The sequence below is a fragment of the Homo sapiens genome, chromosome Y (genome assembly GCF_000001405.40).
Source record: "Homo sapiens chromosome Y, GRCh38.p14 Primary Assembly".
In the NCBI taxonomy this organism is placed as follows: domain Eukaryota; kingdom Metazoa; phylum Chordata; class Mammalia; order Primates; family Hominidae; genus Homo; species Homo sapiens.
Window position 1 is genome coordinate 57,179,016 of NC_000024.10, and position 25,747 is coordinate 57,204,762.

Here is a 25,747-nt window from a genome sequence, read left to right on the forward strand (position 1 = left end):
TTTGCTGTGTTGACCAGGCTGGCCTTGAACTTCTCACCTCAAGTAGTCCTCCCACCTTGGTCTCCCAAAGTGTTGGGATTACAGGCGTGAGCTTCCTGCCCAGCCATAAATGTAATTTATTGCACATTTCAAAATTGCTAAGAGTAAATGTTCTCACAACAAAGAAAAAGTATATGAGGTGATGGATATGTTAACTACTTTGATTTAAGCACTTCACCTTATATTCCTAAATTCTAATATAACATTGTACTCCATAAACATATACAATTATAATTTGTCAATGTACCACTTAAAGAAATGATCCAAGCCTGGGCAATGTGGCAAAACCCTGTCCCTACAAAACATACAAAAAGAAAAAATAGCCAGGTGTGGTGGTGCCCACTTATGGTCCCAGCTACTTAGAAGGTTGAGGTGGGAGGATCACTTGAGCCCAGGATGTCAGTGAGCTGTGATTGCACCACTGCATTCCAGCCTGAGCAACAGAGCAAGACCTGTCTCAAAAAATAAATACAGAAATAACATTTAAAAATGATCCAAGTATACACTGTCTACAAGAGTCTCACTTTAGATCTAAAGACACAAATAGGATGAAAGTAAAAGGATAGGGAAAGACATGTCATGCAGATAGTAACCAGAAGAGATCAGGAGTGGCCATATATAAATAATCCAATCACAGAAAGATTAATACTGTATAGGCCGAGTGCGGTGGCTCACACCTGGAATCCCAGCACTTTGGGGGACTGAGGCGGGCAGGTCTCTTGAGTCCAGGAGTTCAAGACCAGCCTGGCCAACATGATGAAACCCTGTTTCTACTAAAAACACAAAAATTAGCCAGGTGTGGTGGCGAACGCCTGTAATCCCAGCCACTCGGGAGGCTGAGGCACAAGAATCACTTGGACCTGGGAGGTGGAGGTTGCAGTAAGCCATGATCGTGCCACTGTACTCCAGCTTGGGCGACAGAGAGAGACTCTGTCTCAAAAAAAAAAAAAAAAAAAAACTTTGGAAAAAAAATTAATACTATATAAGTCCACTTATATGAGGTACCTAGCATAGACAGAAAGTAGAATGGTGGTTAACAGGTGGTTGTCAAGTTGAGGGGAGGAGGGAATGGAGAGTTGTTGGTTAAGGGTACAAAGTTCCAGTTTTGCAAGATGAAAAGGATTGTGGAGATGGGTGGTGGTGATGGTTGCACAACAATATAATAGTACTTAATATGTTAATATCACTGAACTGTACACTTAAAAATGGTTAAGATGGCCAAGCATGGTGGCTCATGCCTGTAATTCCAGCACTTTGGGAGGCCAAGGCAGGAGGATCACTTGAGGCTAGGAGTTCAAGACCAGCCTGGGCAACACAGTAAGACCCATTCTCTAAAATAAAAGCAAAAAATTAGCCAGGTGTGGTGGTGGACACCTGTAGTCCCAGCTATTCAGGAGGCTGAGGCAGGAGGATCGCTTGAGCCCAGGTGTTTGAGGCTGCAGTGAGCTATGATTGCATCACTGCATTCCAGCCTGTCTCAAAAAAAAAAAAAGTATAAACCAGTGTAAGCATGCTGGATCCATACAAATGTATAAACCATTCTTAGCTCACAGGTTTTAAAAATTAGGCTGGATTTGGCCCGTGTCATTTGCTGACCTCTGTTCTACCTCATAGGGCTGTGACAATTTATGTAGTTTAACATATAACAAGTCCTCTCTGTATCCATCTTGCAGATAAGGAAACTGAGGCTCAGAGAGGTTAATGTTCCTTCTTCTTGTATGCATTGTTATAATTTATTCCATATTTGAGACAGGGTCTCACTCTGTTGCCCAGGTTGGAGTGCAGTAGCCTGATCATGGCTTACTGCGGCCTCAATCTCCCCGGGCTCAGGTAATCCTCCTACCTCAGCCTCCTACTGGGACTACAGGTGCATACCACGATGCCCAGCTAATTTTTGTATTTTTTTTTTTGTAGAAACGGGATTTCACCATGTTGCCCAGGGTGGTCTTGAACTCCTGGGCTCAAACAATCCACCCACCTCAGCCTCCCAAAGTGGTGTTATTACAGGCATGAGCCATCATGCCTGGCCTATTCCTTTTATTTAAGATGCACTTTTTGCTTATATATTTTCTTTTCTTTCTTTTTTCTTTCTTTCTTTCTTTTTTTTTTTTTTTTTTTTGAGACAGAGTCTTTCTGTGTCAGCAGGTTGGAGTGCAGTGGCATGATCTTGGCTCGCTGCAACCTCTGCCTCCCGGGTTCAAGTGATTCTCCTGCCTCAGCCTCCCAGGTAGCTGGGATTACAAATGTGCACCACCATGCCCAGCTAATCTGTGTATTTTTAGTAGAGACAGGGTTTCACCATGTTGGTCAGGCTGGTCTCAAACTCCTGACCTCAAGGGATCCATCTGCCTCGGCCTTGATTCTTTTGTATAGAACCACACCTGGCCTTGGTTCTTTTGTATAGTTTCTATTTCTCCTCTGAGATTTCCTATGTATTCATTGGGAGCATATTTTCCTTTATATATTTGAGCATAGTAAGAGTATCTGCTTTAAAACCTTTGCTATTTCCAACAACTTATTCCTGGAAGTCAATCTTCATTGATTATCTTTTCTCTTAAGCATGGGTGACATAGTACTCTTTCTTCATGTGTTTGATAAATTTGTTTTTATCTTAGAAATTGTGAATGGTATACATTGTTGAGACTGTGTGTTCTGTTATATTTCTCTGGAGGGTGTTTAAAAATTTTTTTTAATTTTGTTTTTGTTTGTTTGTTATTTTAGCAGGCAGAAAACTCTGTGTCCTGAGGTGAACAGCTGAAACTTCTGTTCAGGTTATTTAACCTTAGCTGGGCTCCTTGGAGTTAGCTGGCAGATGTATAGTTCAAGGGTCATCCAGAGATTTGGGTAGAATTTAGATGTAGAATTTGGGGCTCTCTTCTCTGGTTTTTCTTTTGAGAATTTCCTTTCTCCCTATCCAGCCCTTGTGGTCTCTGCTTCTGAGGTTATGATATGGGTAGTGTGGTCTGCTGGTCTTGAGTTAGTAAATTCTGGCTTCAGCAAGATAGAAGGCACACTGACAGAAAGAAGCTGTCTTGGTAAGGACACTAGTGCAGGGATGGCTCCAGTGAGTAGAACAGTATATGCTTGTAGCAGGTAAGACTGGAGCCAAGCTGATTAAAATTCAACCCCAAAGAACACACAAGTAATAAATACATGAAAAGATGCTTATCTTGACTAATACTCAAGGAAGTACAAATTAGAACCACATTGAAATATCTTAGCCTATCAGATTGGCAAAGATGAAAAAGACTGATAATGTTTACTGTTGGTGAAGGTTACAGGCATTCTTACATTGTTGGTGAGAGCAAAAGTCTGTGCAACACTTTTTATGTAGGGCCATATCTCAGCATCTATCAATATTTTAAAATGCTAACCCTAAGACCCCACAATTCTACCCCTAGCAATTTATCCTACAGTAGGACTCACTCTGTTGTTTGAAGATCCATGCCCAGAATTATTCACGAAATTCACTTAAAATAGCATATATGCTTGAACCCAGGAGTCTGAGGCTGCAGCGAGCTATGATCATGTCACTGCACTCCAGCCCAGCCTGGGCGACAGAGCAAGACTCTGTGTCTAAAGAAATGAAAATAAAAATAAATAAAATAGCATATACAGGCAACAATCCAAATGTTCATTGCAGAAATTATGATTATTATTGTTTTTCTTTTAGAGGCAGGGTGTCACTCTGTTGCCCAGACTAATCTTGACCTCCTGTGATCCTCAAGAGATCCTCCGGTCTCTGCTTCCCAAAGTTCTTGGATTACAGGTGTGAGGCACTGGGCCTAGACATTGCAGGGATTATTAAACCATGGTGCATACTACCATTAAAGGTATGAGGTAGGTTTTATATGCTGACCTAGAAAGATGGTGCAACACCATAGGGGAACAAGAAGGCTGCAAAGTGGCAGCACAGCAGGAGTCTTTAAGAAATAGGTATTTGTTTCAGCTTAAGAAGTGTCTGGCTGGGCGTGGTGGCTCACACCTGTAATCCCAGCACTTAGGGAGGCTTAGGTGGGCGGATCACTTGAGGTTAGGAGTTCAAGACCAGCCCAGTCAACACGGTGAAACCCCATCTCTACTAAAAATACAAAGAAATTAGCTGGGCTTGGTGGCAGGTGGCTGTAATCCCAGCTACTCAGGAGCTGAGGCAGGAGAATCATCTGAACCCGGGAGGCCGAGGTTGCAGTGAGCCTAGATCGCACCACTGCACTCCAGCCTGGGTGACAGAGTAAGACTCGGTCAAAAAAAAAAAAAAAAAAGACCGGGTGCGAGGTGGCTCTCGCCTGTAATCCCAGCACTTTGGGAGGCCTAGGCAGGAGGATCACAAGGTCAGGAGATCGAGACCATCCTGGCCAACATGGTGAAACCCCATCTCTACTAAAATACAAAAATTAGCCGGGTGTGATGGCACACGCCTGTAGTCCCAGCTACTCAGGAGGCTGAGGCAGGGGAATCGCTTGAAACCAGGAGGTGGAGGCTGCAGTGAGCCGAGATCACGCCACTGCACTCCAGCCTGGCGACAGAGCAAGACTCCATCTCAAAAAAGAAAAGAAAACAAACAAACAAACAAAATCCCCAAAAAGCAAAAGTGTCTGCATGGACTTGTGCCTAACTACTCACAGTGGCTACTTCTTGGGGGAGGTGAAAGGGGACCCTGTTAAAGAATTTTTCTTCTGTATTGTTTTTCTTCAACTGAGTCTGCATTAATTTTATATTTAATACTCTCCCCACCCCTGATGCTCACAGGTTGCTTTAGCTGGTGGAAGGAGAACCTGCACCTCTGGTTTTGGCAAAGTGTAGAAGGGGACAAGGGCACTGCTCTGCACCTGCACAGGTTCTTGCCTCCTGGGGTCAGTTTAATGAATCTCAGTGGTGTTTCTTGGGAAGAACACAGTGGACACTCACTTGCCAGTCAGTAGACAAATCACTGAAGTCCATGTCTGGCAGTTCTCAATGTCATGGGGACTGTAAGGTTGTCATGTCTCACAGTTCCCTGACTTAGAAGATTAGTGGTGACAGACACTTCTCAGCTCTGCTCGGGAGAGCAGCTCTGTAATGCGCTTGTGGTTTCAGATGTGGGCGGCCTGTGTGAACCTGTCGTGCAAAGCTCACGTCACCAACTGCTGCAGTTATCTCCTGAATCAGGCTGAGGGTCTTTGCTGTGCACCCAGAGATAGTTGGGTGACAAATCACCTCCAGGTTGGGGATGCCTCAGACTTGTGATGGGACTGGGCAGATGCATCTGGGAAGGTGAGTCTGTGCTTTGGGCTTCCCAACCTCTCAAGTCAGCATGAAATTCAGAAGGCAGAGAGGGACATGTGGCCCTCCAACTCGGGGCCCAGGGAGCCACTGTGGCATTTGAGAGCGCCACCCTAGCTTTACCTCCTCTGGTGTCCTGGCCTTGTGTATCTCTTAGAGATGGCAAAATTTGCAGCCCTGACCTCAAGGATTACAAACTAATTTCCAGTCCTGTAGGGGTCATGGGTTCTGCTGTGGCCAGTGTGGCACTGAGTTTGTCAGGCAGAATTTCTAATTATGGAAGGAACTCTGCTTCCTCAGTGATTGAACTGACCTTTGTGGGGGTGCCTTTGTGGGGTGAGAATGGGCATACTTGGGCCTCAGTTGTGATGGCCATGGGGTGGAGCTGAGGTCTAGGCCCAGGGCTGGGAAAGCTTCTACCAACCCCGAGGCATTTGGGTGTTTTAGGGCAGAAGAGGAGCCAGGAGGATGGGTATGCCCCACTGGAGCTGTGTGTGGGGCAGCAGGTGAGGGTGGGATTCCAGAGGGAGGGTCAACCCAGCCAAGCAGAGGAAGGGGAGGAGAGGGTTTGTTTTGGAAAGAACATCACCCTCTCAGTTTCCTGGGGTCTGGATAGCCTGTTCTTGTGATGAGCTGGAGGATGTGGGCCCTGCTTGGATCCTCCTCTCCCCTCCCTGCCCCCATTTTCTCTTCCTGTGATTTATGCTGTTCTGGGCTCACCCTCTTCCCAGAGCTGTCACGCTACAGCTGACAGGCAGGGCAGGCGTTTTAATTATTATTAATTTTTTTTTGAGACAGAGTTTGAGACAGTATCAAGAGTGGGTATCCTCTCAGCGTGTCTTCAAGTAGCATCCCAGAGCCCCGCTCCTGGGTACCCACAACATGAACACCGTCCAGAAGCAAGGGCAGCCTCTGCAGGTGGGGCGGGGGTTGGAAAACATTTATCAAACGGTTGAGTTGGGTGCAGGGGATGCAACATGATCAAACAGGGTCTTGCCTCCAGGAGCCTCATGTAGGGACAACGCACAGTGATGACCTTCAACTGCAGTGGGGCAGCAAGGCTGTGGGAGGGGTGTTTTGGGCAGAGCAGGCGACGTGGGTACCTCTTCACCAAGACAGCAGGAAGAGCACGGACATCATTTTCCCGTCTCACCTCCAGACTCCCAGGGGACTGTGCCAATATCCTCACTCCAGCCCTGGCCCATGGCCACTGCTCAACCCTTGGGCCCTGTCAGTTCAGGGCTGTGCAGAAGGAGAGTTGCCTGTGCTCAGGCTCAGGGGTTCCGTCCAGCTAAGGAGGCCTACTAGGGGACTGGGGAAAGGCCTCATGAAGGACCAGGCCTGTGATGGGGAGGGAAGATGGCAGAGGGGACAGTGGGAAGCAGAGCAGCAGGGGTCTCCTCCACGCCTCTCTGTACTTCTCCCACCCACCCTTGCCTACTCCCCTCTGCCCTGGGTATGTGCCCTTGTCCACCCAACACCTCTGCAGTGCCAAGTCCAGCCCTGACTTCTTCCTGAGCTGTGGCCCAGCGTTCCCACAGGCATTTACCTCACGGATGCAGCACTGCCCCTCATCCTCTTCTCTGAAAGTGTGTGGGAAATGCTTCTTGGTGCCATCTCTCTCCCACCCTGCCTTCCCTGCACCTTCTCTATGAGGTGTCTGTTGTCTCTGTACTTGCCTCCAGCTGGCCTTTCAGACCCCATCCCTCCTGCCTCCTGCCCATCCCTACCCCTGTCAGCACCTTACATACTCTGTGCCCAACAGCATTGGGGATTCCCACTGTGCTGAAGGAAGTCCTCATGTGGTCCAGAGAGGGAGCTGGCCCCTGCTCCCATTTCCAGCACCATTTTCTGGCACAGGCTCCATGTCCCCAGGCTCCAGCTGCTTCTGGGGTACCAAGGTCTGCATTTCTTCCTCTTCCCCCAGCAGACAGAAGACCTTGCTGGACAGGTGTCCACTTCAATAGTAACTTCTGAGGCTGCCAGCCTCCTGAATGGTCCAGAAGAACCAGACCCTTCCCCGCCCCCATTAAAAAAGACAAAATATGGCCAGGCATGTTGGCTCATGCCTGACATCCCAGCACTTTGGGAGGCCAAAGCAGGTGAATCACTTGAGGCCAGGAGTACGAGACCAGCCTGACAAACATGGTGAAACCCTGTGTCTACTAAAAATACAAAAATTAGCCAGGCGTGGTGACTCATGCTTGTAAATGCTTGTAATCCCAGCTACTTGGGAGGCTGAAGCAGGAGGATCACTTGAACTCGGGAGGCAGAGGTTGCAGTGAGCCGAGATCACGCCACTGTGTTCCAGCCTGAGCGACAGAGCGAGACTCCGTCTAAAAAAAAAAAATATATATATATATACACACATATATATATGCATAATAGTCTCTGTGTAACAGTAAGTGGATGCAGTAACTGGTGTGAGGGCAACTTGGAGAGTGTGCTTGGAGGCACAGAGATGCTCAGGGCTGCCTGGACTGCCTCCATGATGGTGGCCTGCTCTGTATTAGGTGAGTGTTCAGGAAAGGTGAGGGCAGGGCAGCCCACAGCTTCACAGTGGCCCAGGGAAGCAGGGCAGGCAGGCTATGAGGCCTAGTAGGCATCTGGGCCAGACTTTGACACTGAGGCCATGGAATGGGTGGGGCTCTGAGAACAGACCAAAGTGATCATGGGCTGAAGGCTATGTCCACAGATCCAAGGCGGGATAGGCTGTGCTGGGCAGTGATGTCAGCCAGGCTCCCCAGCGGGACTGGGGGTGTCAGGGGCAGCTCTGTCCCAGGTGGCAGACACTGGTTTCCCCTCCTGCTCTCACAACCGGCCTGTTACCAGGTGTTGTCTGAGCTGTGGTGAGGCTTCCCTGGTGACATTCAGGAGCAGGGAGCCTGTGAGTAAGGGTGTATGCATCTGCCCTGACTGCCTGGCCCTGTGGTCAAGGATGGGGGAAGGCAGCTCTGCCTGCAGCTCCACCCCATTTATAAAGCACTGTGGTGCCTTCTGCTGGGGCATGTGCTGAGTGGTGCCTCGCAGGCACTGCCCTCGGGAAGTTCACAGGCTTATGTGGAAGCTGGTGGGAATGGGCCAAGAAGAGAGGTGTCAGGAGCCAGGTATTGGGCAGGTCCCAGGTCTCTGAGCCTCAGTTTCTTCATCTGTAGGAGGGTGGTGACCCTGCCCTGCTCAGCTTACCAGGTACAGATGTAAGTTTTCAGTGCAGAGGAAAAGCAGAGAACTTCCCCTCAGATGGCCATACCCCCTTGTCGCTGTACCCAACTCTCCGGTCCTACTTTGTAGCTCTCAGGTGTCACATGTGGATCCTGCCCTACCATCCCCCTTCCCTGTCTAGAAACGAGGCCTGCTGAGCTTGGAGCCATCCCACTCCCTGCTCTCAAGCCGTCTGCTCCTGGGTTAGCCTGTGGCTGGCCTGGCCTGATTCTACATAGATGTGGGTGTTTCTCCACTGCTGGGGCAGCAGTTGTCCATTCTGGGGCCTGGGTCAGCTCTCAGCTGTGGCCGTTGTGCCTGTGCTTCCCCAGGTCCTGGTGGTGACTCCAACCCTGCCCTCACATATCCCAAGAGCAGGCTGACTGCCTTCCCCATTCCCACCTTTCCAGTAACTGCTGCAAGAACGGACAGACACTGCTGCAGAGAACTTGCCACGGTGTTTCATGCTGTGGCTGGTGGTTCCAGGCTGCACGCTCCATTCTAGGAAAGGGTGAGGCTTCCTGATCATCAGTCTTAACAGGGGACTGTCCTATGGGTACCTGTATACGCTGCCGGGAGTGGGGCAGAGTGGGGTTAGAGTAGTGCCTGCTGCCCATTGGTTTGTGCGGTCCTTTAAGGCTGTAAGTCTGTGTGCGTGTCTGGTTTTTTCCTCCTCCTATCAGTAATCAGTCTTGTATAACCAGGCTGGCCCTGCTTCCTGCCTAGGGGCTATCGGTGTACCATCTGGAGTTGCAAATGGGGTGATAGGGCGTCAGCGGCCTTCCCACACCCAAGCACTTCCTGACACCCAGCCCCTCATCTCTAGCCAACCTCTGGCTCCCCTAGGGATCCTGGGGCTCAGGCCTCACGCTCCAGCATCCGGGGGCTTTGCCCTTCTGGTGTTGCTCTTCTTTGCAGGTGCCTTGGAACAGGGGTGCAACAGAGTTCAGAAAGTGCCATCTGTTGCATGGATACCCTGCTGCCACCCTCGTCCACCTTTCTGGGGCAGAACAGTTGGATGGGTCTTTATTTAAGAGGACAAAAGGGAGAGAGAATGCATAGAGGCTGGGTCTGGTGCTCACGCCTGTAATCCCAACACTTTGGGAGGCCAAGGCAGGTGGATCCCTTGAGGTCAGGAGGTCAAGACTAGCCTGGCCAACATGGTGAAACCCCGTCTCTACTAAAAATACAAAAAAAAAAAAATTAGCTGGGCATGGCGGGAGATGCCTGTAATCCCAGCTACTCGGGAGGCTGAGGCAGGATAATCACTTGAACCCAGGAGGCGGAGGTTGCAGTGAGCCAAGATCACACCACTGCACTCTAGCCTGGGTGACAGAGGGAGACTGTCTCAAAAAAAAAAATTTGCTTAGAATTTGTCTGTGTGACCCTGGGCAAGTCATTTCCCCTCCTTGGGACTCAGTTCCTTGCCTGTGAACGGGGACAGTGCTTCTCCCTTACAGAGCTGTTGTGAGAATTAAAGTAGAAAATGTACCTATGGTGGTTGTTGGTAGTGACCAGTTCCCCCAACCCTGACTCCCCTGCAGGATGGGGCCTGGGCCCGGGAATGGGGGATGGGCTGGCAGAGGATGACTGTCCCAGAGAGGAGTCTTCTCGGCAGATGTGGAGACCTAGCTGAGTCAGAGGCCAGGATCTAAGTTTGAGGGTGTTCCTTACACCCTGCAGCCATGAGTCTTTGGCTGAGTCAAATGGCCTTTCTGAGCTCAGTTCCTTATCAGTAAAGCCTGGACAGTGGTCCAGGACGCTGGACACTGTGTGAGTGTTAGGACACAGGACACTGTGTGAGTGCAGGTGGGGACCCATGGAGCACTCTGCTGGGGAGCAATTCATGGGGAGCACCCCTCCAGAGAGGGATGATTTGCACAGGGCCCTCAGCCCAGTCCCTTGCAGGCTGGACCTTGGAGAGTGAGGCCCTGAGGCGAGACATGGGCACCTGGCTCCTGGCCTGCATCTGCATCTGCACCTGTGTCTGCTTGGGAGTCTCTGTCACAGGGGAAGGACAAGGTGAGGGCTGGGCACTAATGTCTGTATGAGGTGGGTGGAGAACTAGGGCATGTTTGGGGGACTGGGTTGTCCGATGTCAAGCCTCTAGGGAAAGGTTTGGCCCAAACTGTGCTGGGGCATGTCCTCTAGGGGTCAGCCTGGACCTCAGTCTCTAGTCTCCCTACTTTTACCTCCCTACCTTCATTCCCTGGACCGACTGTAGTCTCCCTTCCTTCACTCTCTTGACGCCTCTCCAGATCTGACTTGCCCGTGTACCACAGGTCAGAGCCCATCACTTCCCAGGCCTCCCAGTGCTTCCCTGGACAGATTCTGGGATCATTTACTGGTGACTGCCCTGCTAGGGTGTCAGCTGTCAGATCCTCCCCAACCCCCGAGCTCAGCTCTGGCCTGAAGTACTTACCGTGGGCTCCTGATGGTCACTGTCTCCAGGGCCAAGGTCTAGAACCTTCACCTGCCTCACCAACAACATTCTCAGGATCGATTGCCACTGGTCTGCCCCAGAGCTGGGACAGGGCTCCAGCCCCTGGCTCCTCTTCACCAGGTGAGCATGGAGGGCCATGCCCACCTGGACAGGGATGAGGGTGAGTTCCCCAGGATTGAAGCAGCTATGCCAGGACAGTGTAGCAGCCCCGTGGTGCTGACAAATGCCCTTTCCAGCAACCAGGCTCCTGGCGGCACACATAAGTGCATCTTGCGGGGCAGTGAGTGCACCGTCGTGCTGCCACCTGAGGCAGTGCTCGTGCCATCTGACAATTTCACCATCACTTTCCACCACTGCATGTCTGGGAGGGAGCAGGTCAGCCTGGTGGACCCGGAGTACCTGCCCCGGAGACACGGTGAGCAGCAGCTATAGGTCTGGGGCGGGGCCGCTTGGCAAGAACATCCTGGCTGCTTGGGGGTTTGGAGCAGGGCCTTGCAGCCTGTGAGTGGCCCAGTGAGTGTTCTCAGTCCCAGCCGAGTGAGATCCAGGGCTGGGGGCAGGCTTGGCCCTTGGGAGGGGAGGGCCCATATGGTTACTGCAGGGGCAGGGTTTTGGCAGGAAATAAACATGCACGGCTGCTAGTTGGGGCAGGGGCTGGCACTTGAGTCATGTGAAATGCACTTCAGTCATACCAGGAAGGACTCCAATAAGATGCTGGGAAAAGCTTCCAGCAGCAGACTGTGAAGGAAAGGGAAAGCAAGATTTAGAAACCACCTAGTCTAGGTGCAGAGGCCAGAGGAAGTCATTGCTGTCCTGTCCCGCCTGGGGCTTTTGTGGACCAGTCTCCCAGTGAGGTGCCTGGTCTGAGAGGGCCTTGACCATTCCCCTTGGGAGTCTTTCAGACCCCAGTCTTGTGTGTTCTGACTGACACACCCAGACCCATGGGGCTTCAGCCTCACATGGATTCACTCTGTTCCAGTTAAGCTGGACCCGCCCTCTGACTTGCAGAGCAACATCAGTTCTGGCCACTGCATCCTGACCTGGAGCATCAGTCCTGCCTTGGAGCCAATGACCACACTTCTCAGCTATGAGCTGGCCTTCAAGAAGCAGGAAGAGGCCTGGGAGGTAACACTTTGGCTGGCTTTCCCTGGGGGCCTCTCTCCTGGGAACAGCAGTCCAGGGTAGACTCCCCACTCTACATAGGGAGATGTCAACTTGTAGTGATGAGAAGGGAGGAACTAGAGCGGGGTGTGTGTGCACACACACATGCTGGCATGCAGATGTGTATGCTTTATGTGTGTGTATGGGAGTAGGGTGAGTGCGCCTGTGTCTCTGTGTGTGCACATAAGTGTGGTGAGTGTGCATGTATGTGTTTATGTGTACACATATGTAACTGTGCACACTCATGTTTGTGTGCCCATGTTTGTGTGTTTATATGTAAGTGTACATATGTGTGTGCCTGTGCCTTGCATTTGTGTGAGTGTGCACATGGGCATGCCTATGTGTATGAGTGTGTATGTGAGTGTGGTGAGTTGCTTCTGTGCACACACTTTTGTTTATGAGTGTGCATGCAAGTGTGATGAGTGTGAAAGTGTTCCTGTAGACATGTTTGCCTGTGTGTGCATATGTGTATTTGTGGGCAAACGCAGCTGTGTCTGTGAGTGTGAGTGTGCCTTCTGTGTGTGTGTGTGCACGTGAATGTGGTGAGTGTGTCTGTGTGTTAACACAAGTGTGTTCAAGAGTGTGTTATATGAGCATATAATGCATGTGTGTATTCTCGAGGGCTGAGGGACCCAGCCCCACCTTCACCACCTGCTAACTGTCCCCACCCCCACAGCAGGCCCAGCACAGGGATCACATTGTCGGGGTGACCTGGCTTATACTTGAAGCCTTTGAGCTGGACCCTGGCTTTATCCATGAGGCCAGGCTGCGTGTCCAGATGGCCACACTGGAGGATGATGTGGTAGAGGAGGAGCGTTATACAGGCCAGTGGAGTGAGTGGAGCCAGCCTGTGTGCTTCCAGGCTCCCCAGAGACAAGGTGGGCACTGCTGTGGCTGCTGCACTTCCAGCGGAGTCTGGGCTGGGCGTCTTCTCCCCTGTTCACCTCAGCCCTGCACCCTTTCACCCTCCTGTAAGCCCCTCCCCGAGGCAGCCATGCCTCAGTTGACCCCCTTCCTCTGAAGGTCTGAGGTCTGTAGGGAGGACAGAAACACCTGCCAACTCTGGGGCTTCCTGGGAACCTGTAGTTAGTGGCTGCTGTTAGGAGTGAGGGTGGCAGGGCTGCACACCAGGGCTGGGCTCCTGCCTGGAGGCTGGACATGACCTCAGTGTCCTTAATGGGGGCTGGACTGACCCTTGCGCACTGCAGTGCTGAGATGGCCCAGGGACTTTATGACCCACCTTGTGGCAGATGGGAAGAGTGAGGCCCAGGAGTGTGGTTCACACAAGGTCCTTCAGCAGGTGACACAAACCTCCAAGGCCCATCACAAGGTCCTTCAGCAGGTGACACAAACCTCCAAGGCCCATCACAAACCTTCCACTTTGGCCCAGGGCACTAAAGGGCGCACCTTTGCCAGGTGGGTTTGGGGGGAGCCTCCTGGCACTGAGGCTGCTCACAGCCCTGGGCCCTTCCTGTCCACAGGCCCTCTGATCCCACCCTGGGGGTGGCCAGGCAACACCCTTGTTGCTGTGTCCATCTTTCTCCTGCTGACTGGCCCGACCTACCTCCTGTTCAAGCTGTCGCCCAGGTAGGTGGCTGATGTGTGCGTGTGTGTACATGTGTGAGCGGGCAAGAGTGTGCATGTTAGTGTATGTGTGCAGATGTGTGACTGTGTGCATGTGTGAGTGTGTGGTGGGTGGGCCATCAAGGGCCGCCCTTGTCTGGTTCCTCCCCTCCCCTCTCCACTGCCTGGTCCTGGACGGGGTGGGCTTTTCGAGTCTCCACCCTGGTCCAGAAGAGGGTTCTCAAGTTGCCAGGGGAGAGCAGGGAAGGGGGGTCTGAGGCAGAGGCTGAAGATAAGGGCAGCTTGGTCCCGACCAGACCCAGAGTCACCGAGATCAAGAGCCGGAGGTCCTAGTCTCCTGCCTCTGGAGGAGCTTGGTTTGTTCATTTGTTCACATGTTCTACGAAAGGACAGTTGGGGCATCTGGTGTGCTCAGGACCCTGTTCTCAGAACAAGATGGACAAGGGCCCTCCTTAAATAAACCGTCACGCCTCATGCACCACATGTCAGGTTACAAGACAGGGTGCAGGGGCCATGTCAGGCCGCAGATGTGAGGAAGAGGGTGTGGGGAGAGGGGTGTTGGGTGGGGCTAAGTGGGAGGGTGCTTCGCTTCTCCTTGGAGCAAAGGAAAGTGTAAAACTGTGTGACACAACCTAGTTTATGTTTTGAGGAATAGATTGCTGGGACAAGGGGACATGGGGGACCTGCTGGAGGCCAATGGGGGCCAGTGAGGTGCCCACAGGGAGACGATTTGGCATGAGCCAGTGAAAGAAGTGGAGATAGAGAAAAGTGGAGAGAATTGCAGGGTCTCATGAGGGGAAATAGAAGGGACATGTGGGTGGATGAGATATGAGTGGTGACCCCTGAGGTGGGGAAATGGGGGACAGCCTTGCAGGGAGGTTGGTGAAGTCTATTTGGACCTGTTGGGTTGGAGCCCCAGGTGACATCCTTGTGGGAGGGTCAGTGGATCCTTGGCAGCAAGTCTGGTGCTCAGGGAGACACTGGGTGGGGTGGGAGCCACAGACCTTCTGCTGATGGCAAAGACAGGGTTCCTGGAGTGCTGGCTCCCTCTGTGATCTGAGGACCCAGCTAGTAACTCCCCGTTCTGAACCCGCCATCGCAGCTCACGCTGTAAAGGACGCGCGCCTCAGTATAAATCAGTTCTATGCGGCCGTTAGGCAAGGAGGCCCAGTTGGGTCCTGCCCTGAGAGTGGGTTGGAATGTGATGAGATGGGAGAGAGGCAGTGGCAGGGACGAGGTGGGCGGACCTCCTGCTGATGGAAGGAAGCTCAGCCTCTGCAGTGACCTCAGGCCACCTGGGTCGCCATAGGCCTCTGACTGGCCTCTCTTGGCCTCAGGGTGAAGAGAATCTTCTACCAGAACGTGCCCTCTCCAGCGATGTTCTTCCAGCCCCTCTACAGTGTACACAATGGGAACTTCCAGGTGTGTGCAGAGACCACAGAAGGACATGGGGGGCAGGGGTTGCCCAGAGCTCTGGCCTGCCCAAGATGTTGGCTTTCACTGAGGGTTGGCGGCCAGTATGGGAGGCTTGTCAGTGCTTGGAGCCTTTTTTGTATATTCAGTGAATTTCAATTTATACGCGTATCTCAAATGGGGAAAAATTAGCTTTATTTTCCATTGCTGATTTCTTTTTGTTCTCAGGTCTCTAGTTCCATTGTTGATTGAAAAAATGTAAATTTCTCATAACTTATCTCTGTCCCCTCTGGTTTGCAGCTTTCTGCACCCACCATGTGCCTCACCTCCTCCTTCTGCGAAGGTGTCTGTCCTGTGGCCATGGGGAAGGGTCTGTGGTGTGTGTGCTGCCCTTGGGGCTCTCACTGCCTCTGGGCTCCTGCTCTGCCTGGTCCCCTGGTCTCCCCGGATCACATGATGGCACCACAGCTGAGGAGTGGGCTCTGCACTTCCCCCCCTTCCACCCATGTTGGGCTCCTACAGCCCAGGCACCAGTGAGCAACTTGGGGGTTGCATCAGCCCCTCCCCTCCCTGCTGGGCTGTTGGTTCATGCCCCCTGGGTGGGAGGAGGGGGAGAGGGAGAGCTCCAGTGAGTGGTCTCTGGTTTTTCCCCTCAGACTCCTCACTTTGGGCAAAGGACAAGAGGCAGTGAGGGCCCCTCCCTGGGGTCTGGGCCAAGCTGACCACTCTTCTCCAGAATCTTCCCTCCCTGTCCCCTTCACACTGTGGCTCCAGCTTACTATGCAGAAAAATCCTTTTCTCTCTCAATGAGGAGCGTAGTTTTCAAGATTTTTGTCCAAAAATATAATTTGAACCATGAACCGGGCATCTGGCTCTTGGCAGAGTCTCCCTCTTTCCCCAAGGTGGTAGATGTGACTGTCAGGAGCCTGGGCAGCTGACGACAAGGCTGAGCAGGTCAGATTGTGACTGTCCCCTGGACTGTCATCCTGTTGCGGGCACCAGCTGTTCCCTAGAGAACTAGGACACCTGCCACGGGTTATTTAGACCTGCGGGTGAGGATCTGGTGCCATAGGTTGGTCTCCAGGGAGCACTGCAGTGATGGAGGGTGTTGTGTGTGTGATGCATGGGATGGAGGCTCCTGGTCCCACCAAGGGAACAGCTTCCTTTTGGAGGCGGGGGCCTCCTGTGGCCCCACAGAAGGATCCAGGTCTGCTGGCCATAGCCGAGTGCTTTGAAAGTCACCAGTCCTGACAGCGATTCGTGTGTGTGTCTGTGTGTGTGTGTGTGTGTGTTTATGTGTCTGTGTGTGTTCGTGTGTGTGTCTGTGTGTGTGTTTGTGTGTGTATGTCTGTGTGTGTGTGTTTATGTGTGTGTGTCTGTGTGTGTTTAAGTCTGTGTGTGTTTGTGTGTGTGTGTCTCTGTGTGTGTGTCTGTATCTGTGTGTGTTTGTGTCTGTGTGTGTTTGTGTGTGTGTCTGTGTGTGTTTGTGTGTGTGTGTCTGTGTGTGTGTTTATGTGTCTGTGTATGTTTGTGTGTGTGTTTGTGTGTGTGTGTTTGTGTTTATGTGTGTATGTCTGTGTGTGTCTGTGTGTCTGTGTGTGTATGTGTCTGTGTGTGTTTATGTGTCTGTGTGTGTTCGTGTGGTGTGTGTGTCTGTGTGTGTGTGTTTGTGTGTGTATGTCTGTGTGTGTGTGTGTTTATGTGTGTGTGTCTGTGTGTGTTTATGTCTGTGTGTGTTTGTGTGTGTGTGTCTCGTGTGTGTGTGTCTGTGTGTATCTGTGTGTGTTTGTGTGTGTGTGTGTCTCTGTGTGTGTGTGTGTTTGTGTATGTTTGTGTGTGTGTGTGTGTGTGTTGGGAATGCCCAGTCTCTGCAGCTGCTGAAAGGCCCTGAGGCACATGCTGTCAGGAGCTGGCTCTGTCCTGGGCAGATATCACCATCTGTACCTCGGTTCAGGCTGCCGTGGGCACCAGGCCCTGTGCTGGGGGAGTGCTGAGGAGCCTGAAGGGACTCAGGGTCCCGTGATGAGGCTGGGCTGGCACATGGAGGAAAGACAGAATGTCCAAGACACAGGCGCTGCTTGGCCTCTGGGTGTGGACCTCAGGAGGGCTTCCTGGAGGAGGAGGGATGCTGGGCTTGCCAGAAAGGAGGCAGCTGCTCCCAGGATGAGTTCTGAACATGCTACCTGAGCCCTTCCCTCCTCCCGTGCTCTGTTCCAGACTTGGATGGGGGCCCACGGGGCCGGTGTGCTGTTGAGCCAGGACTGTGCTGGCACCCCACAGGGAGCCTTGGAGCCCTGCGTCCAGGAGGCCACTGCACTGCTCACTTGTGGCCCAGCGCGTCCTTGGAAATCTGTGGCCCTGGAGGAGGAACAGGAGGGCCCTGGGACCAGGCTCCCGGGGAACCTGAGCTCAGAGGATGTGCTGCCAGCAGGGTGTACGGAGTGGAGGGTACAGACGCTTGCCTATCTGCCACAGGAGGACTGGGCCCCCACGTCCCTGACTAGGCCGGCTCCCCCAGACTCAGAGGGCAGCAGGAGCAGCAGCAGCAGCAGCAGCAGCAACAACAACAACTACTGTGCCTTGGGCTGCTATGGGGGATGGCACCTCTCAGCCCTCCCAGGAAACACACAGAGCTCTGGGCCCATCCCAGCCCTGGCCTGTGGCCTTTCTTGTGACCATCAGGGCCTGGAGACCCAGCAAGGAGTTGCCTGGGTGCTGGCTGGTCACTGCCAGAGGCCTGGGCTGCATGAGGACCTCCAGGGCATGTTGCTCCCTTCTGTCCTCAGCAAGGCTCGGTCCTGGACATTCTAGGTCCCTGACTCGCCAGATGCATCATGTCCATTTTGGGAAAATGGACTGAAGTTTCTGGAGCCCTTGTCTGAGACTGAACCTCCTGAGAAGGGGCCCCTAGCAGCGGTCAGAGGTCCTGTCTGGATGGAGGCTGGAGGCTCCCCCCTCAACCCCTCTGCTCAGTGCCTGTGGGGAGCAGCCTCTACCCTCAGCATCCTGGCCACAAGTTCTTCCTTCCATTGTCCCTTTTCTTTATCCCTGACCTCTCTGAGAAGTGGGGTGTGGTCTCTCAGCTGTTCTGCCCTCATACCCTTAAAGGGCCAGCCTGGGCCCAGTGGACACAGGTAAGGCACCATGACCACCTGGTGTGACCTCTCTGTGCCTTACTGAGGCACCTTTCTAGAGATTAAAAGGGGCTTGATGGCTGTTCCAAAGTGTTGATGGCTGGGAGAAGGGGCCAGAGGAGGAGTGAGGGGTGGGGTTTGTCCAGCCCTGGGCTTTCCGGGCTCTAGAGATAGCATGGTGTAGGCTCAATGACAGTTCTGGGGACAGCAAGTTGGAGGTTCAGGGGCAGCTTCAGGACAGCAGGATGGAGGCTCAGGGACAATTCCTGGGAGGCCAGTGCCCTCGTTCCTCCTTGTCCTCATCCTCCCCCTTGCTCCAGGAAACTGAGAGCTGAGCCTGGAGCTTCCAGACAGTCAGTGCTGGGGGTGACCATCCAGCAGTGATGGTGGCCTGTGAAGGGTCCTGCTTCTGTCCTCAGCCTCTCATGGGGTGGGCTTGTGGAGGAGCTGTGGTCTGGAGAGAGTGGCAGTTGGAGCAGAACGTGCCTGCGTTTGTTTCCTAGGGCTGTCGTAACAAAGTGCCACAAAATGGTTAGCTTAGAACCACAGAGATTTGTTGTCTCACAATTCTGAAGTCCAGAAGTTGGAAATAAAGATGTTGGCAGTGTTCCCAACCACATGTTCTTGGGCTCCCATGAAACAGAAGTTGATATTAGGCCAAGGAAGCTTCCCAGACAAGACTTTATTAAGTCTTATGCCCCGAAAGTTTGGGCAGAAGAGAGACGGTGCAGGAGGAAGAATTCTTGGCTGACTCCCCAAGGGGAATGCATTGTGGTGTCTTAAGGAGGGTGACATACATAATTTATGAGCTACATGAGTGTCATTGCACATATGGGGTGGAGCGAAGGGTGCTCAGACGCATGCTAACACATACGTTGCATGATCAGAAAATGGCAGATAAGCCCCTCCCTGGGTGAGGACTTTAGTATTATCATAAGACCAGGGTCATTCTCCTGGCCTTGTGCACAAGCAGGTGATGGAGTCAACTCCCGTCAGTAAGACTTATGGCGGGATGCTGCTTATCTTAGTTTATTTCAGACAGTTGGCAAGGTCTGGCCAGCGAGTATGGCACCTGGAGGGTGGTGCTGCAAGGTCTAGTGGTCAGCGGGCACGTATGGAACAATACGTTAGTGGGGGTGGGCCGAGTCCCATTTATACTCTCTCAGCAGGGCCATGCTCCCTCTGAAGGCACTAGGGAAGGATTAGTTTCAGGCCTCTCTTCAGCTTCTGTTAGTTTCTTGGCTTGTGACACCAAAGCTGTAATCTTTCTTTTGTTTTGTTTTTGTGACGGAGTTTTGCTCTTGTTGCCCAGGCTGGAGTGCAATGGCACAATCTCGGCTCACTGCAACCTCCTCCTCCCAGGTTCAAGCAATTCTTCTGCCTCAGCCTTTGGAGTAGCTGTGATTACAGGCACCTGCTACCACGCCTGGCTAGTTTTTGTATTTTTAGTAGAGACGGTGTTTCGCTATGTTGGCCAGGCTGGTCTCAAACTCCTGATATCAAGTGATCCGTCTGTCTCTGCCTCCCAAAGTGTTGGGATTACAGGCATGAGCCACCGTGCCTGGCCAAAGTTCCAGTCTTTACAGGGATTTTTCCTTGTGTGCATTTCTGTGTCCAAATTTCCCCTTTTTAAAATCACAATAATAGTGAATTAAGGCTGGCCCTAACGATTTAATCTTAACTTGATCATCTGCAAAGACACTGTTTCCATATAAGGTCACATTCACAGCTACTGGGGTTAGGACTTCAACCTAGAGGGCCTGACTTCTGGCCCAACACATCATGGCCCATCCCAGCATGCCCCATCCCCTTCCTGGGTGCCCCAGGCAGATCACAGGAGGGCCTGACTGCTGGGCTTTGGGCTGACATTGGGATCATCTGCCTAGTTAGGGCTGTGACCAGACTGAGATAGGAGGTGGGACCTGACTCCTGAGGCAGGGCTTGAACTCTGGACCAGATTACAGACTAGCTGAAACAGGCAAAAGCACCCCTCCATAAGACACACCCACTGGTGCCAAGTGAGTTTGCCGTTCTCATGGTAACAGCTGGAAATTACTGCCCCTTTCCATGGCAATGACCTGAAAGTTACCACCCCTTTTCTAGAAATTTCTAAATAACCTCCTCCTTAATTTGTATATAGTTACAAGTGGGTATAAATATGTGTGCAGAACTGCCTCTGAGCTGCTACTCTGGGCTGACTGCCTATGGGGCATCCCTGCTCCATAAGGAGCAGTACCTCTGCTGCCACTGTGCACAGCTGCTTAAATAAAAGTTGCTCTCTAATACCACCGACTCGCCCTTGAATTCTTTCCTGGGTGAAGCCAAAAGCCCTCCTGTGCTAAACCCCAATTTCTGGGCTCACCTTTCCTGCATCAAGAGTGTTTTGGGGCTGGGAGCGCTGAAGTTTTGAAGGCAGGATGAAATGGAGACTGTTAGCTCCCTGGGTCCTGAGCTACAGGGAGCAACTCTCCTGGGTGCTCTCATGCTTCCTGCAACCTGAGCAGAAAGAAGTACCTGTAGCCTGATGCCCCCAAAGGCAAAAGCCCCTTCTGGCTCAGATAGGCAGCCCTCCCACCCTGCATGCCTGCAGAGCTTCTGGGGTTTTGTGGGGAGCCTCAGCAGAGCTGGATCCTGGTCTGTGGGGGCGAGGCAGGCCCCAGAATGTATCTTTAGCATCCAGAGAGTGGGAGGGGTGTGGACGGAAGCGAGGTACAGGCATCCTCAGCTCTAACCAAGTATAAAAATACTAGTGTGAATCCACTTCCTGGAGCTGGGCTCTGGGGAGCCCCGGGCTAGTGTATTTATAACAGGGGCTGTGTGGCTCATGAGGCTCCATGTGTGACCTGGGCTACCTCATGATCACATAAACGAACCCACAATTGGGATGCCTCTCCTGTGTGGCCTGGACACCTCTTCATTCAACTCATAAACTTTCCCTGAGTGGGCCCTGGAGAGCTGGTTCTGGGCTGGAACCTGAGAGTGAAGCCACTGGAGGCTGTGTAATTTGTAGGTGAGTCACTCAGTCACCTAAGCCTGGCCCTCCCCTCTGCACAGGGTGCTAGCCATACCTAGCAGACTGCTGTGAGTTCACCTGAGCAAGACACCTGCACACAGTGGTGCTCAGAAAAAGCTAATAATTCCTTATTGGAATGAGACAGGCCTGGCATGGTGGCTCATGCCTGTAATCCCAGCACTTTGAGAGGCTGAGGCAAGCAGACTGCTTGAGCCCAGAAGTTTGAGACCAGTCTGGGCAACATGGCAAAACCCTATCATCTCTATGAAAAATACAAAAATAATTAGCTGGGCATGGTTGTTCAGGCCTGTAATCCCAGGTACTCGGGAGGCTGAAGTAGGAGAATCACTTGAATCCGGGAGGCAGAGGTTGCAGTGAGCCGAGATCACGCCACTGCACTCCAGCCTGGGCAACAAAGTGAGACTCCATGTCAAAAAAAGAAAAGAGGCCAGGAGCAGTGGCGCATGTCTGTAATCCCAGCACTTTGGGAGGCCGAGGTGGGTGGACCACAAGGTCAGGAGTTCAATACCAGCCTGGCCAAGATGGTGAAACCCCGTCTCTACTAAAAATATAAAAAAAAAAAAAATTAGCCAGGCATGGTGGTAAGTGACTATAATCCCAGCTACTTAGGAGGCTGAGGCAGAGAATTGCTCAAACCCAGGAGGTGGAGGTTGCGGTGAGCCGAGATTGCGCCACTGCACTCCAGCCTGGGAGACTGAGCGAGACTCCGTTTCAAAAAAAAAAAAAAAAAAAAGGAAAAAAGAAAGAAAAGACCCCAGGACCATACATATTTACAGCTCAGTATTAACTAACCTTAATGAAATATGATTTTATTTAAAATGGTCAAGGTAAAGGAAAAAAAAGAGTAGTGACTTTCTTCAAGTAATTTTATGGTATAATATCAAAGCTTGATATAGTTAATACATTTCATCTAATATAGGAATGAGAATGCTTATAAAGCAGACGTCATTTTATGTACCATTACAAATACACTGCCAATTAAACAGACTTTCTCAACAAAAGACTGTTGTTGACGAGGTGACTTCCATTAGACACACAAAATGGTTTGTTTTTGTTTTCATTTGTTTTTGTTTTTTGAGACAAGGTCTCGCTCTGTCGCCCAGGCTAAATGCAGTGGCCTGAGAATGATAATGTGCCTGCTTTTCCATTTCCTGTGTTGTTTCCACTGCGTTAACAAAAGAGCCTTAAAACACAAAGCACTGGCCGGGCCCAGTGGGTCACGCCTGTAATTCCAGCACTTTGGGAGGCCGAGGTGGGTGGATCACCTGAGATCAGGAGTTCGAGACCAGCCTGATCAACATGGAGAAACACCGTCTCTACTAAAACTACAAAATTAGCCGGGCGTGATGGCGCATGACTGTAACCCCAGCTACTCGGGAGGCTGAGGCAGGAGAATCGCTTGAACCCGGGAGGCAGAGGTTGCAGTGAGTCGAGATCGCGACATCGCACTCCAGCCTGGGGAGCAAGAGCGAAACTCCTTCTCAAAAGAAAACAAAACAAAACAAACACCGAGCACTCATCTAGGGGCGCCTGTTTCATTGGCCTTAGACTGCGGTGCCTGCTGGTCCCCGACCTCACGAGGGCATCTCTGTGTTCCTCCTCCTTTCCCCGTACCAGGGTCAGCCCCAGGTGTCCCGGAGATGCAGCCCCAGGTGTCCCAGAGATGTCCTCATCGCGGACGTGGCCCCAGGTCTCCTCAGGTGTCTCGAAGCCATGGCCCCTCCTGGGTGGGTCCTGAGGAGAGAAAACTCCGTCCTCACAGTCCTCACACCCAGGGATGCCGCTGTACGGATCAGACGCAGTTCTACTGTGGCGCTCCGGGTTTGGCCGGGCCCCCTAATGGCAGCCGTGGAGAATCCCTGAAAATTAGCGTTTGGATTTTTCCATGCCGTGATTTTGGAAATTTCAACTGACATGGAGCCCACCATCCCGTGCCCCGACCGAAACCCATGGAGACAGCAAGCAAAGAAGATGGCCAGTTCACGCCTGTAATCCCAGCACTTTAGGAGGCCGAGGCAGGAGGATCACTTGAGCTCAGTGAGTTCGAGACCAACCTGGCCAACATGGTGAAGCCCCCGTCTCTACTAAAAATACAAAAAAAAAAAAAAAAAAAAAAATTAGCTGGGCGCCGTGGGCAACAACTGTATGTAGTCCCAGCTACTTGGGAGGCTGAGGGAGGAGAATCGCTTGAGCCCAGGAAGCGGAGGTTGCAGTGAGCAGAGATTGCACACCTGCACTCCATCCTAGTCAACAGAGTGGGGCTTCCTCTCAAAAAGAAAGAGGGCAGGGCATGGTGGCTCACACCTGTAATCCCAGCACTTTGGGAGGCCGAGGCGGGCAGATCACGAGGTCAGGAGATTGAGATCATCCTGGTCAACGTGGTGAAACCCCGTCTCTACAAAACATATAAAAATTAGCTGGACATGGTGGCCTGCTCCTGTAGTGCCAGCTTTGGGAGGCTGAGGTAGGAGAATCGCTTGAACCATGGAGGCAGAGGTTGCAGTCAGCGGAGATTGCGCCACTGCACTCCAGCCTGGGTGACAGAGCGAGACGCCGTCTCCAAAAAAAAAAAAAAAAAAAAAAAAAACAAAAAGCAAAAAACAAAATCAAAAACAAACATCCAGCACTGATCCCAGGGGCCTGTTTCCTCGGCCTCAGGCTGATCTCCCGACAGCGTCTCCGCGTTCTTCCTCCTCTCCCGGTACCAGGGTCTCTTCCCAGAAAGAAACTCACATCCGTAACCTGCATCTTGGCCTGAACTGGGGGTGACCCGCCCAAGCCTCCATGAAGGGGAATCTCCTACAAAGTGAGGTCCTGCTACAAAGTGCACGACGGGAAATGCAGCCGCGCTCGCTCCGCCACACTCACACCGGGGGCGGGAAGCCTTTTCCTCACCTTGGCCTCGGCCCCAAGTGGTGTCCCGGAGATGCAGCAGCGTCTCCCAGTCCTCACCGCGGACGCCGCCCCAGGTGTCCCCAGGTGTCCCCAGGTGTCTCGAAGCCGCGGTCTCTCCCATGCGGGTCCTGGGGAGAGGAAGCTCAGTCCTCATAGTGGCCGCAAAGTGACTGCCGCTGTGTGGATGAGACGCGGTGCGTGCACGGCGCCCCGAGTTGCCAGGGGCCATGCGCCCCCTTGCGGCAGCCATGGGGAGTCTCTGAAAATCAGCGTCTAGATTTTTCCAGGCTGTGGATTTTGGAAATTACGACTGAAATGGAGCCCACCATCCCATGCCTTGATCGGAACTCATGGAGCAAGGAAGCAAAGAAGATGGCCAGTTCATGCCTGTAATCCCAGCATTTTGGGAGGCTGAGGCGGGCGGATTACTTCAGGTCCAGAGTTTGAGACCAGCCTGGCTAACATGGTGAAACCGCATCTATACTAAAAATACAAAAATTAGCTGGGCATGGCGGCACGTGCCTGTAATCCCAGCTACTCAGGAGGCTGAGGCAGGAGGATTGCTCGAACCCAGGAGGCGCAGGTTGCAGTGAGCCAAGATCATGTCACTGCACTCCAACCTGGGTGACAGAGCCAAACTCCATCTCAAAAAAAAGATGGCCAGTAGGCAAAACTTAATTGATTTTCTTTCTTTTCTCTTTAAGAGACAGGGTCTCGCTCTGTCACCCATGCTGAAGTGCAGTGGTGTAATCACAGCTCCCGAGTTCAGCCTCCAGCTCCCGGGTTCAAGAAATTCTCCAGCCTCAGCCTCCCAACACACTGGGATTACAGGTGTGAACAACTGTGTCCGGCACCACCTGATTTTCCTTTATTTATTATTTTATTTTTTATGGGCGGGGCAGGTCTAACTATGTTGCCCAGGCTGGTCTAGAACTCCCAAGCTCAAATGATCCTCCCAACTAGGCCTCCCAAAGTGCTAGGATTACGGGCGTTAGCCACCACACACTGCCTGATTTTCTTTCTATCATCAGCAATAATGTATAGGAATAATTTGAACTTGAAATTTGAAAAAAATACCATTTACAATAGCATTCCCAAATTTAATTTATTAGGTATAAATCTAACAAAATACATACAAATATGCATTCAGAAAACTTTAGATCACGGTTGAGAAGAATCAAAAATATTAAATCAAATGCAGATACTCCTTGTTTAGGAGCAGTACACTCATTATTGTTAGCTTTACCACAAAGCTAAAGCAATGAAGAGAGTGATATTGGTGAAGGAATGGACAAACAGCTCAACAGAACACAATACAGAACCCAAAAAACCCGAGTAAATACATTCAATTGATTTTGTCAAAGGGGCAAAAGCAATTCACTGGGGAAAGAAAAGTCTGTTCCACAAATGGCAATAGACAATCGGAAACCATACGGAAAACACTGAATGTGGACAAAAACTTCATAGCTCACCCCCAAAAAATCACTCAAGATAGTCTGTAGCCTTAAATGATCAAATATAAAATTGTAAAAGTTTTATAGAAGAAAATCCACGTGACTTTGGGTTGGTGATGAGTTCTTA

At 51.7% G+C, this 25,747-nt stretch overlaps 1 protein-coding gene and 1 long non-coding RNA gene across 14 annotated transcripts; one reads left to right on the forward strand and one right to left on the reverse strand.

Moving 5' to 3' along the window:
- IL9R (interleukin 9 receptor) lies at positions 5,057-18,854 on the forward strand. 13 transcript variants are annotated; one of them, XM_011545650.3, is made up of 11 exons: positions 5,114-5,292; positions 8,913-9,013; positions 10,387-10,524; positions 10,954-11,065; positions 11,182-11,360; positions 11,925-12,070; positions 12,783-12,984; positions 13,588-13,693; positions 15,028-15,112; positions 15,404-15,636; positions 17,321-18,322. In XM_011545650.3, exons 1-11 carry the CDS (start codon positions 5,249-5,251, stop codon positions 17,355-17,357), a joined length of 1,383 nt encoding a protein of 460 aa, XP_011543952.1. In that variant the 5' UTR covers positions 5,114-5,248; the 3' UTR covers positions 17,358-18,322. The 13 variants fall into 13 exon arrangements, with proteins under 13 accessions (XP_047298691.1, XP_011543952.1, XP_047298689.1 ...); XM_047442733.1 differs by having other exon boundaries at positions 12,786-12,984; XM_047442734.1 differs by having other exon boundaries at positions 10,411-10,524; positions 15,404-18,854.
- On the reverse strand, positions 22,069-24,335 carry WASIR1 (WASH and IL9R antisense RNA 1). Its single transcript, NR_138048.1, has 2 exons — positions 24,167-24,335; positions 22,069-23,130 (listed from the first exon to the last, which is right to left on the reverse strand). It is a non-coding gene; the product is annotated as a WASH and IL9R antisense RNA 1 (long non-coding RNA).
- Between the last annotated feature and the right edge of the window lie 1,412 nt (positions 24,336-25,747).

Coding starts and splice junctions, on each gene's coding strand:
- IL9R (XM_011545645.3), top strand. CDS start 5,249: ATGCCTCAGACTTGTGATGGGACTGGGCAGATGCATCTGGGAAG. Junction 9,014..10,386: donor ACGCTCCATTCTAGGAAAGG/GTGAGGCTTCCT, acceptor TGATTTGCACAG/GGCCCTCAGCCCAGTCCCTT. Junction 12,071..12,782: donor AGCAGGAAGAGGCCTGGGAG/GTAACACTTTGG, acceptor CCACCCCCACAG/CAGGCCCAGCACAGGGATCA.